The sequence below is a fragment of the Homo sapiens genome, chromosome 1 (genome assembly GCF_000001405.40).
Source record: "Homo sapiens chromosome 1, GRCh38.p14 Primary Assembly".
Classification (NCBI taxonomy): Eukaryota; Metazoa; Chordata; class Mammalia; order Primates; family Hominidae; genus Homo; species Homo sapiens.
Genome location: NC_000001.11, coordinates 174,669,250 through 174,683,157, shown reverse-complemented (window position 1 = coordinate 174,683,157; position 13,908 = coordinate 174,669,250). Strand labels below are relative to the sequence as shown.

General features: G+C 36.1%; 1 protein-coding gene across 10 annotated transcripts in view; it reads right to left on the bottom strand.

The window, feature by feature from the left end:
- RABGAP1L (RAB GTPase activating protein 1 like) overlaps positions 1 to 13,908 on the bottom strand; it is an 835,789-nt gene that overhangs the window by 312,151 nt on the left and 509,730 nt on the right. The window lies entirely within an intron of this gene.

Below are 13,908 nucleotides of genomic sequence, written 5' to 3'. Positions count from 1 at the left end.
GTTCAAATGCACTAAAAGGGGGAAATCTTGATATTGCTGAGACAGAAGTGCAAATCCGCTATTCTGACAACCCCATGCCAAAAAAAAAAAAAAAAAAAACCCCTTTAGAACCTCCAAAACTTCTCAAAGACCTTTTAAACTACCCTGCCATTTTCCATGAAGGCTGAAGAGTAAAAATGGTTCTCCAATCTATACCACTGGGGCAAACCAGAAATATTTAGCATTGTCCCATGCTTTTTGCAAAATGGCTGACAGCCTCATGCTACATACATAACTGATATTTCAAGTGCTTTGGCTATTCCACAGCTTTAACGTCATTCTAACCAGGCCATCTGGAGTACAGCCAAAGAGGCCAATTCGTAAGAAATACAGCATTCCTTGGAAAGTAGCTATCATATCATTCAACTTAACATTCCCTCTTAGTTTTCAGAGCAAAGGAAATAAGGCCATAGGCTTAGTGTATACTAATTAGTACTTCAAACATCTAGGATTCTCTAATGCAAACAAAAAGACAACATGTTAGTTTTTGAGGCTGAATCAGTTACAGTAGGTAGAGTGTGCAGATCAAAGGGTAAAGAATAGGAGTTAGAAAGCTTTTTCTGTAAAAGTTTGGATAGTAAATATTGTAGACTTTGAGGAACACTTATAGTACTGGTTGCTTGTTTTTTCTTAAGGGACAGGACTTTTTTTTTTTTTTTAAACAACTTTTTAAAATGTAAAACCATTCTTACATTGGGGCAGTACAAAAATAGGCTTCATGGTCCAGTCACTGAACCCTGAATTAGAATTTTTTTAAAAATTTAGTTGTTGTGATGTATGTGTGTGTGTGTGTGTGTGTGTATATATATATATGTATGTATAGAGAGAGAGAGAGAGAGAGAGAGAGTTTTGCTTTGTCTCCCAGGCTGGAGTGCAATGGCACGATCTCAGCTCACTGCAACCTCCACCTCCCAGGTTCAAGCTATTTTCCTGCCTCAGCCCCCTGAGTAGCTGCAATTACAAGGGCCCACCACCACACCCAGCTAATTTTCATAGTTTTAGTAGAGACAGGGTTTCACCATGTTGGCCAGGCTGGTCTTGAACTGCTGACCTCAGGTGTTCCTCTCACCTCAGCCTCCCAAAGTGCTAGGATTACAGACATAATCCACCATGCCCGGCCTGCCAAATATATTTTTAAAAGACTCTCAAAGAATACTACTGAAATCCAGGATATGTATCTCATCCCATGTATTCCATCTATGTGTTGTACTTCATTTTAGTGAGGAGATTTCCATTTAATTTAATAGAATGTATTTTGATTTTGTCAGTATAAAAATTGTCTCTGTCTAGGACAAGGCTTATCAAAGATAACTAGGAAGGCTTAACCTATGGAGAGTAAGTGTAGTATTCCCCATGTGCCAAAGTTGTCAGAGCACAGAGTCTGGAACTCCCTTTTACTCAAAAACATAAACTTTATTGATGTATGGTTTATACTCAGTGAAAGGCATACATTTTAATTGTACAGTTCCTTGAGCTGGGGCATTTATGTAGCCCTGCCATTATAAATATTTCCATCACTCCAGAATGTTCCCCCATGCCTCTCTTTGGTCAAACACCTCCACTCCAGGCAACCACAGATCTGAATTTTATCACAATATATTAGTTTTTCATTTAAAAAAATTTCATATAGATGGAATCATACAATAATGTACTCATATAATACGTAGTCTTTTGTGTCTAGCTTCTTTTACTCAGCATAACGTTCCTGAGATTCTTTCATGTTGTTGTGTGCATCGGTAGTTCATTCCTTTTCATTGCTGAGTAGCATGAATATATACTGTATGAATATACCATGATCTGTTTATTCATTCCTCTGTTTCCAGCTTTCAGCTAGTATGAATAGAGCTGTAAATATATACACAGCGTTTGTGGATACAGATTTTCATTTTCCTTGAATAAATACCTAGGAATGGAGGTTCAAACTTCAAATGTTAAATGTAAGTTTATCTTTATAAGAAATTGCCAAATTGTTTCCCAAAGTGGTTATACAATTATTACACCCCTAGCAGCAACATATGAGAGCACCCCTTGCTTCACTTCCTTGTCAATACTTGATACTGTCAGTCTTTTTCCTTTTAATTAATTCCTGTAGTTTTGACTTTCATTTCCCTGGTGGCTAATGGTATAGAAAATGTTTTCATGTACTTTTAGACAATTGATACATATTCTTTTGTGATTGTTCAAGTTCCTGCCCAATTATGTGTTGCTGATTTTTGTTTTTTGTTTTTTTTGGAGGCAGGGTCTGGCTCTGACACCCAGGCTGGTGTGCGGTGGCATGATCACTACAGCCTCTGCCTCCCAGGCTGAAGCGATCGACCCACCTCAGCCTCCTGAGTAGCTGGGACTACAGGCTGCCCCACCACACCCAGCTAAGTTTTTTTCTATTTTTAGTAGGGATGGGGTTTTGCCATGTTGCCCAGGTCTGGAGCTCCTAGGCTCAAGTGATCCGCCCACCTCAGCCTTCCAAAGTGCTGGGATTACAGCCTGCCCAATTGTTTAATTGAGTTGTTCATCTCATTATTGTTGGTTCCTACGAGTTCTTCATTCTGTATATGCTCTGTATACAACTCTGTCTGAGTCCATTCTGGATGCTATAACCAGAATACCACAGACTAATTAGCTTATAAACAAAAGAAGTTTAGTTCTCACAGTTTTGGAGGCTACAAAATCCAAGATCAAGGCACCAACCAATTCAGTCTGATGAGGGTCGGTTTCCTGGTTCACAGAAATTGTGCCTTTTCATTGTCTCCTCACATAGTGGAAGGGGCAAACAAGATCCTTCCGGCCTCTTTTATTAAAGCACTAATCCAATTCATGAGGGCTCCGCCCTCATGATGCAATCACCTACCAAAGGCTCCATCTCTTAATAGTATCACCTTGGTGGTTAGCATTTCAACATATGAATTTTGAGGGGACACAAACAATGGGACCATTGCCAAGTCCACTGTCAGACATGCATATTACAAATATGTTTTCCCAGTCTATGGCTTGCATTTTCATTTTCTTAATGCTGTTTTTCAAAGAGCAAGTTTCAATTTTGAAAAAGTTCAGTTTAATAGTTTTTGTCTTTTATGGTTCATATTTGTGTTTGTACATGCCCTGTTTTTGTGTCATGAATATTTTTTCCCATGTTTTCTTTAGAAGTTTTTTTGTTTTGGCATTTACATTTAGGTCTGTAATCCACTTTGAAATAAGAAGTTTTAAAAACCTGGTAAGTCTATGTTCTACAACTTAGATCTTTTGCAAAAGAGTTTATTCTAGATTCCTTGCATTTCCATATAAATTTAGGAATTAATTTACTGTCTTCCCAGAAATGCCTACCGTGATTTTGACTGGGATTGTGTTGAATCTATAAGTAAATTTGGAGAATGGTATCTTCACAATATAGAGTCTAACAGTCATGAACCTGATATATCTCTCTCCATTTATTATTTCTTAGGATTTTCTACATGCATAACCATGTTGTTTGTGAATGTTAGTTTTACTTCCTTTGGCCATATGCCTTCTTTTCTTGCCCTACTGCACTGACTCCAGTACTATATTACACTGTATTCCAATACAATGGTGAATATAAGTGCTCAAAGAGGAAGGACATCTTTGTCTTCTTCCAGATCTTAGAAGTCAAACATTGTCTTTCACCATGAAGTATAATGTTAGCTACAGATTTTCCATAGATATCCTTCATTAGGTTTAGAAGTTTCTCTCTATTCTTACGTTGCTGAGCATGTTTTATCTTCTATGGGTACTGAATTTATAAAATGCCTTTCATGCGTCTATTGCAATTGAGAGACAGTGCTAGCTGGATTTCCTAGGCTGACTAAGAATCCCTAAGCCTAGCTGGGAAGGTGACTGCATCCACCTTTAAACACGGGGCTTGCAGCTTAGCTCACACCCGCACACCCGACCAATCAGGTAGTAAAGAGAGCTCACTAAAATGCTAATTAGGCAAAAACAGGAGGTAAAGAAATAGCCAATCATCTATCGCCTGAGAGAACAGGAGGAGGGACAATGATCGGGATATAAACCCAGGCATTTGAGCAGGCAATGGAAAGCCCCTTTGGGTCCCCTCCCACTTCATGGGAGCTCTGTTTTCACTCTCTTAAATCTTGCAACTGCACACTCTTCTGGTCTGTGTTTGTTAGGGCTCAAGCTGAGCTTTCGCTTGCCATCCACCACTGCTGTTTGCCACTGTCGCACACCCACTGCTGACTTCCATCCCTCCGGATAGGGCAGGTGTCTGCTGTGCTCCTGATCCAGTGAGGTGGCGCCCACTGCCGCTCCCAATTGGGCTAGAGGCTCGCCATTGTTCCTGTGCAGGCTAAGTGCCTGGGGTTCATTCTAATGGAGCTGAATAGAGCTATAACAATCACCACATGGCCCAAAATTCCATTTCTTGGAAGCCGTGAGGCCAAGAACCCCAGGTCAGAGAACAAGAGGCTTGCCACCATCTTGGAAGCAGCCCGCCACCATCTTGGGAACTCTAAGAACAAATACCCACCAGTAACATAATGATCATATTACTTTCTCTTTATTCGGTTAATGTGGTTAAAATATATCGATTTTCAAATGCTGGACCAACCTTGTATATATGGGTCAAGAGTTATTATCCTTTATATTACCGTATTAAGTTTGTTACTCTTTTTTTTTTGTTTTGTTTTGTGGGGGTTTTTTGAGAATATTTTATGAGGAATACTGGTCTGTAACTTCTTTGGTAATGCCTGACACATTTTGGTATAGGGTTATGCTGGCCTTATAAAACAAGTGTGTCAGTGTTCTCTGTCACTCTGCTTCTGAAAGAGTTTTGCGTAAGACTGGTATTAATTCTTCTTTAACCATCTGGGCCTAGAGTATTCTCCTTGGAAAGGTTTTTATTATGAATTAAATTTCTTTAGTGGAAATAGAGCTATCCGTATTTTCATTTTCTTTTTGTTTCAATTTAAATAATTTGTGTTTTTCAAAAAATGCTCTTTTGTATGTAAATTGTTAAGGTTACTGACATAAATTCGTTCATAATAGTCCCTAATTGACTTTTTAATATCTGTATATGATTTATCCTCTTTCATACATAAAAGTTTAAACTTATATTTTCTCTTTTCCTTGATTAGTCTTGGTAAGGATTTATTAATTTTATTAATCTTTTCAAAGATCTGGCTTTTGGTTTTATCTTTTTCTTTTTTAAATACATTTTCTATTTCATTTATTTCTGTTCTTTATTATTTATTTCCATCTATTTATCTAGGTTTTAATTTGCTCTTCATTTTCTAGCTTGTTAAGATAGAAACTTAGATCTATCTTCTTTTCTAATATAGGCATTTAAAGCTATAAACTTGCCAGTAATTTCTTGATACCTTTTAAAGATACTGATAATGGTGCCAATCCTTGCCAACTGTCATCATCCCCAAATATGATAGGTGAGTGGGGTGGTATATACCCAGCTCTCTGTCAACCCAATAGAGTTCAGCACAATAGTTTCTGTGAAGATCTAGGCAATTCCAACTCCAAGGCTATAGCCTCAGAAAAATTTGGGGTTATGCTACCAAGGCAAAGGTTCGAAACTAGGACCACTGTGGAACAACCTTAGCCATAAGAAATGAAGTGGGGTACATGGCAAAAGCAGGTCTACCCCAGCTTCCTTTTTAGGTCTCTTTCTTCAGATGAAATTAACTAGATAATTCACAAATGCCTCCAGTAATTTGTAACAGAGGTGTTATGCTATACATACACTCAAATGTTAGGCCTAATTAATCCTTGAGTTGTTATCAATGGTTTATTATAAGTTCTAAAAGCAAATGAATATGTATCTTCCCTGATTCTTGTTTGTTTGTTTTGAGACAGGTCTCCCTCTGTCGGCTCACTGAAGCCTCCACCTCCCAGGCTCAAAAGATTCTCCCACCTTAGCCTCCCAAATAGCTGGGGCTACAGGCACATGCCACCATGCACGGATAATTTTTTTTTTTTTGGTAGAGATGGGGTCTCACTATGTTGCCTAGACTGGTCTCAAATTCCTGAATTCAAGTGTTCCTTCTGCCTCAGCCATCCAGAGTGCTTGGATTACACGCATGAGCCACCCCATCTGGCCACTTCCCTGATACTTATGCCGTAAGTGGGACAAATGTGGAAACAAATATTAAAATCTTGATGTTCTATCCATTTGTCCAACTTTAACATAAACCATCTACAGATGACTCCTTTAGAAAATGATATCCCTGGGGTTTAAGCTATCATAAATTTTTTGAATCCAGTATCTGTTCAAATTATGAGAGGAAAGAGGAAGGAAGGAAGGAAAAATTCTATTTTATGTAACATAAAAAAGAAAATCAGATTAGTATAGATACCACCATATCTATTAATCTATTACACCAGTTCAATTAATCAAACCATATGATGGCTGAAGCTAACAGTATCCAAAGATGTTGGAATACTACTGACCATGCTATCACTTCAGTAGAAGCAGTCACCAAAATATAAACTTTCATTGGAAAATAGATACATTTCTTCATTCATACACAAAGTACGTGCTTCTCAAATAATCCTTTTATATTTTAAAATCAGGAATCTTTTCACTTAGAAGTTGAAACTCCAAACGTTAAAATATTTGATCGGCTGCTTCAATCCAGGGAAAACTTCAGTTTGCTTTGTTTTTGCTTTGTCACAAAAACTATTTAAAATCTCTATGGAAGAACATTTTCTAATACTCACAAACTGAATCAGTAACCTAGTGAATTCTACAGTAACAGTTTCATCTGACATTTTACTACCAGGAGAAGCCTCTCAAAATCTGTAATGAAAAAACTGAAACAGTAAATCTAGTATGAATTCCCTAATATTTAAAAGGGCCATCTTCATCAACTACACTCAGCAAATCTATTCAAAAGCCTTCTTAGAATAATATATGTAGTCTCAACAATATACAGGTCTATAGAAGCTTCTGTTTTGTCAACTAAAATCAGAACTTCCACAGGATAACTAAAATATTTTATGGATAAGGTCATCAGTTAATACCCCATGCCCTAAATTACTTTTCAGGCTGCAGTCACTACTCCCAGGCCATCCATTACAGATATGTGGTAAATCAAGGTAGTATTTGTGTAAGTACCTGCTTCAAAGCTGCTTTTTCTTTCTTTTACTTCAAAAAAAAAACCCTCAGTTTTACTTGCAGGTACCTCTGTTATCACCACTGTGCTAGCAAGGTTTTTGTTACATATGAATAAGAATACAAATCTGGCTATTAAAATTTCACAAAAGGATAATGACAATATGCTTCTTTCAAAAACGTTTCTTGTTTCAGCCAAAAGCTTCTATTAGGAGAAGCATGAGAGCTACAGGGGCTTTTAAGTACCACTATGTTTGGGTTATAATTCAGCACGTGGCCTGAATCACATAGATTCCATGACATCTAAGAACCAGGTAATGGCAATGCAGTCTTTCAGCTATTAAAAACCCAAGGTAATTTATAGATTCAATGCCATCCCCATCAAGCTACCAATGACTTTCTTCACAGAATTGGAAAAAACTACTTTAAAGTTCATATGGAACCAAAAAAGAGCCCGCATCGCCAAGTCAATCCTAAGCCAAAAGAACAAAGCTGGAGGCATCACGCTACCTGACTTCAAACTATACTACAAGGCTACAGTAACCAAAACAGCATGGTACTGGTACCAAAACAGAGATATAGATCAATGGAACAGAACAGAGCCCTCAGAAATAACGCCACATATCTACAACTATCTGATCTTTGACAAATCTGAGAAAAACAAGCAATGGGGAAAGGATTCCCTATTTAATAAATGGTGCTGGGAAAACTGGCTAGCCATATGCAGAAAGCTGAAACTGGATCCCTTCCTTACACCTTATACAAAAATTAATTCAAGATGGATTAAAGACTTAAATGTTAGACCTAAAACCATAAAAACCCTAGAAGAAAACCTAGGCATTACCATTCAGGTCATAGGCATGGGCAAAGACTTCATGTCTAAAACACCAAAAGCAATGGCAACAAAAGCCAAAATTGACAAATGGGATCTAATTAAACTAAAGAGCTTCTGCACAGCAAAAGAAACTACCATCAGAGTGAACAGGCAACCTACAAAATGGGAGAAAATTTTTGCAACCTACTCATCTGACAAAGGGCTAATATCCAGAATCTACAATGAACTCAAACAAATTTACAAGTAAAAAACAAACAACCCCATCAAAAAGTGGGTGAAGGACATGAACAGACACTTCTCAAAAGAAGACATTTATGCAGCCAACAGACACATGAAAACATGCTCATCATCACTGGCCATCAGAGAAATGCAAATCAAAACCACAATGAGATACCATCTCAAACCAGTTAGAATGGCGATCATTAAAAAGTTAGGAAACAACAGGTGCTGGAGAGGATGTGGAGAAATAGGAACACTTTTACACTGTTGGTGGGACTGTAAACTAGTTCAACCATTGTGGAAGTCAGTGTGGCGATTCCTCAGGGATCTAGAACTAGAAATACCATTTGACCCAGCCATCCCATTACTGGGTATATACCCAAATGACTATAAATCATGCTGCTATAAAGACACGTGCACACGTATGTTTATTGCGGCACTATTCACAATAGCAAAGACTTGGAACCAACCCAAATGTCCAATAATGATAGACTGGATTAAGAAAATGTGGCACATATACACCATGGAATACTATGCAGCCATAAAAAATGATGAGTTCATGCCCTTTGTAGGGACATGGATGAAATTGGAAATCATCATTCTCAGTAAACTATCGCAAGGACAAAAAACCAAACACCACATGTTCCACTCATAGATGGGAATTGAACAATGAGAACACATGGACACAGGAAGGGGAACATCACACTCTGGGGACTGTTGTGGGGTGGGGGGAGGGGGGAAGGATAGCATTAGGAGATACACCTAATGCTAAATGACGAGTTAATGGGTGCAGCACACCAGCATGGCACATGTATACATATGTAACTAACCTGTACATTGTGCACATGTACCCTAAAACTTAAAGTATAATAATAATTTTAAAAAAAGAAAAAAAAAAGAAAAAAAAAAACTCTGAACACTCAAAAACAATTTATTTTATTACAAATCATGTTTATGGAGGTATAATTTATATGCAGTAAAAGTCATCCTTTGCTCATTTTCCTTGAGGAAGACATACTATGGGATTTATTGATGACAAATACTTCTACATTCTTTAAATATTATCTCTGTGTGAAGCTAAATAATGAGGTAGCAAAGTACCATATTCCACAGAACTATCTTTATTGAGTTAGCATTTGACATTACATATTCAGCCTTTCAGACTTCAGCATGCTCAACTCTAGAACCCCAGTCCATATAAGAATTTTGATTTAGGTACCACATATGCATCTTTTATAAAAGCACAATGAAGTCACTGTCTACAATATTACTCCAAATTCCCATACCTAGTATAACCATGTATCTCTGGTTATGTTTTTCCAATTCTATGCCTGAAAAATAAAAAAAATTGTGACCTTATTTTTTAAAAAGAATGCATTAAGAAGAGAAATATGTAATTTAGCATTTTCTTTTTGCTTTCATTAGCAGAAATTAATAATCAAATTCGTTACTCAACTGTAGAAAATAGCTCATCTCAGGTACCTGATAGCATCTTGGTCACTGCGTTTATCTATTTTTACATGTGTTTTAATTTTGTAAACTCTTTCAGATCTTTTAGTAAATAGAAAGGCAATCACTCAGTCTAAAAAAAAATCATATTATGGTCCATTGTTCTCCTTTAACTTTTTCTGCTAATGATATTATCACTCTCTGTTCAAATGAGAGAAAAATTAGATCATGGGAATCGTTATCTAATGAATGTGAAATGACCTTTTCTTCATTATCATCAGTTTCCAGACCTCTGCCTAATCTTGAAAGATCAATTAGTATCCTTTTACTTATTTAATTTTATTTAATTTATATAGTTATATTTGATTGCTTAATTTGTACTTTTATCTAGAGCTATGGGTGTATGTGAGCTCATGGATGTGGAGGAAAGGGAACCCTCATACACTCTTATGTGTGTATGTATTAGGGGTTGGAAGTAGGATAAAGAGAGAATACAGAAAGAAAAAAGGAAAGAAATTATGGAAAAGTTCGAATCCTATCCCTATTTGGAATATTCCTGAATACAGTAGCCTGTATGTTCCTTTTCCATGAACTAGGAACTCTGAGATTTGTTCATGACAAAGCATGTTACATGAATGATAAGTATATTCTCAAGGCTTCCCCTTTCCCATGAAAGATGTCTAAGTGCAGGATTCCTTAAAACTGTAAATCTCCAACCGTAGTATAAAACTAGAAATCAGTAACAGGAGGAACGTTTAAAAATTCACATGTACATGGAAATTAAACAGCATGCTCCTGAACAATCAATAAGTCAATGAAAAAATTATAAATAAAATTTAAAATTTTTTTGAGAAAAATGAAAATGAAAATACAACATACCAAAACCTATGGGATGCAGCAAAAGCAGTTTGAGAGGGAAAATTACAGCAATAAATGCCTACAAAGAAGACAGGTTGCAAATAAAAAACCTAATCTTGGATCTCAAAGAATTAGAAAAACAAAGACAAACTCAGCCCAAAATTAGCAGAAGAAAGAAAATAAAGATCAGACCAAAAATAAATGGAATGGAAAGTAAAAACAAAACAAAACAAACAAAAACCTGTAATCCCAGCTACTCAGGAGGCTGAGGCAGGAGAATCGCTTGAACCCGGGAGGCAGAGGTTGCAGTGAGCAGAGATTGAGCCACTGCACTCCAGCCTGGGTGACAAAGGGAGACTCCATATCAAAAAAAAAAAAAAAAAGAAAGGAAAAAAAAAATCAATGAAATGAGTTGTTCATTTGAAAACATAAAATAAACACCTAGACTAAGAAAAAGTGAGAGAAGACTCAAAATCAGAGATAAAAAAGGAGACATTACAACTGATACTACAGAAATTAAAGGATCATAAGAAATTATTATGAACAATTATATGCCAACGAATTAGATAACTTAGAATGGATAAATCTGTGTACATATGCAACTGATCAAGGATGAAATATTACTGATTCAGTCTCCTTACTCATCTATTTCTTCATGTAGATGAGTAAGGAGACGACTGAATCAGTAATAAAAAGTCTCCTATCAACAAAAAGCCAGATAGTTAAAAAACTACCAAATATTTAAAAATATAGCTGAATTCTACCAAATATTTAAAACACTAACACCAATTCTTCTCAAACTCTTCCAAATAATTGAAGAGGAAGAATTACTTCCAAACTCATTCTGCTAGACCAGCATTACTCTGATACCAAAACCAGACAAAGGTACAACAAAAAAAGAAAACTACAGGCCAACATCTATGATGAACATACATGCAAATATCCTCAACAAAATACTAATAAGCCAAATAGAACACCACATCGAAAAGATCATCAACCACAATCAAGTAATTAATCCCAGGGATGCAAGGATGATTCACTATATGTAAATCAATAAATGTGATACATCACATTAGAAGAAGAAATGATAAAAGTCAAAGTCATTTCAATAAATGCATTAAAATCATTTGACAAAATTCCACATCACTTCATGATTTAAAACTCTCAAATTAGATGTAAAAGAAATGTACCTCAAAACAGTAATGGCCATATATGACAAACCCATAGCTAACATCATGCTGAATGAGGAAAAGCTGAACTGGAACAAGATATGGATGTCCATTCTCACTTCTATTCAACACAGTACTGGAAGTCTTAGCCAGAGAAATTTGGCAAAAGAAAGAAATAAAAGGCATCCAAATTGGAAAGGAAGAAACCGAATTGTCCCTGTCTGCAGTTGACATCATTTTATATATGGAAAACCCTAAAGACTGTACCAAAAATCTTAGAACTAATAAATGAATTTAGTAAAGTTGCAGAATACAAAATCAACTTATAAAAGTGTGTTAGTAGCATTTCTATGCACTAACGGTGAACTATTTGAAAAAAGAATCATGAAAACAATTCCATTTAAAACATCTACAGGTTTATATCTGAAAGACAGGCAATAACAAATGCTGGCAAGAATGTGGAGAAAAGGGTACCTTTATACACTGTTGGTGGGAACGTAAATTAGTACAACCACTATGGAGAACTGTTTGGAGGCTCCTCAAAACACTAAAAATGGAACTACCATATGATCCAGCAATCCCATTGCTAGGTATAACCAAAAGAAAGGAAATGAGTATATTGAAGAGATATCTGCACTACCATGTTTGTTATAGCACTGTTCATATTAGCCAAGACTTGGAAGCAACACAGAGTCCATCAACAGATGAATGGAAAAAGAATATGTGGTACACATAAACAATGGAGTACTATTCAGCCTTAAAAAATATCCTATCAATTGCAACAACATGGATGGAACTGGAGATCATTATGTTAAGTGAAATAAGCCAGGCACAGAAAGACAAACATCACATTTTCTCACTTATTTGTGATATCTAAAAATCAAAACAACTGAATTCATGGACATACAGAATAGAAGGATGGTTACCAGAGGCTGAAAAGGGTAGTTGTTGGGAGAATGCAGAGAAAAGGTGGGGATGATTAATCGGAAAAAAAGAAGAAAGAATGAGTAAGACCTACTATTTGATAGCATAACAGGGTGACTATAGTTAATAATAACTTAACTGTACATTTTAAAATAACTAAAAGGGTGTAATTGGATTGTTTACAACACAAAGTATAAATGCTTCTGAGCATGAATACCCCATTCTCCATGATGTGATTATTTCATATTGCATGCCCACATCAAAACATCTCATGTATCCCATAAATATATACACCCACTATGTACCCACAAAATTTAAAAATAAAAAATAAAAAATAAAGTAGCTATAAAAACATTTAGGAATAAATTTAACCAAGGAAGTGAAAGATCTGTATATTAAAAACTGTAATATATTGATGAAATAAATTGAAGACACAAATAAATGGAAAGATATCCCATGTTCATGGACTGAAAAAATTAATATTGTTAAAATGCCCATATAGTCCAAAGTGACCCATGTATTCAATGGAATCCCCATAAAAATACCAATGACATTATTTACAAAAATAGAAAAATAAATCTTTAAGATTTATATTGAACCACAAAAGACCTTGAATAGCCAAAACAATCTTCAGCAAAAAGAACAAAGCTGGAAGCATCACATGACTTGGCTTCAAAATACACTACAAAGCTATAGTAACCCAAACAGCATGGGATTGGCATAAAAACAGAAAGCTAGACCCAAGAAACAGAATAGAGGGCCTGGAAATAAATTCACACATTTACAGCCAACTGATTTTCAACAAAGGTACTAAGAACATACAATGTGGAAAGAACAGTCTCTTCAATACATGGTTCTGAGAAGACTGCATATCCACATGCAGAATAATAAAGCTAGACCCTTATCTCTCACCATTTGCAAAAATAAACTCTAAATGGATTAAAGATGTTAAGACTTGAAACTATGAAACTACCAGAAGAAAATAAAGAGAAAACGCTCAAGGACATTGGTCTGGGCAATGATTTTTTGGATATGACTTCAAAGGCACAGACAACAAAAGTAAAAATAGACAAATGTGATTGCATCAAACTAAAAAGCTTCTGCATAGCAAAGAAAACAACCAACAGAGTGAAGAGACAACCTACAAAATGGGATAAATTATTTGCAAACTATACATCTAATATGATTTGGCTGTGTCCCCACCTAAAATCTCATCTTGAATTGCAATCCCCAAAATCCCCACGTGCCAAGGGAGAGACCAGGTGAAGGTAACTGAATCAGGGAAGCGGTTTCCCCCATGCTTTTCTCATGATAGTGAGTGA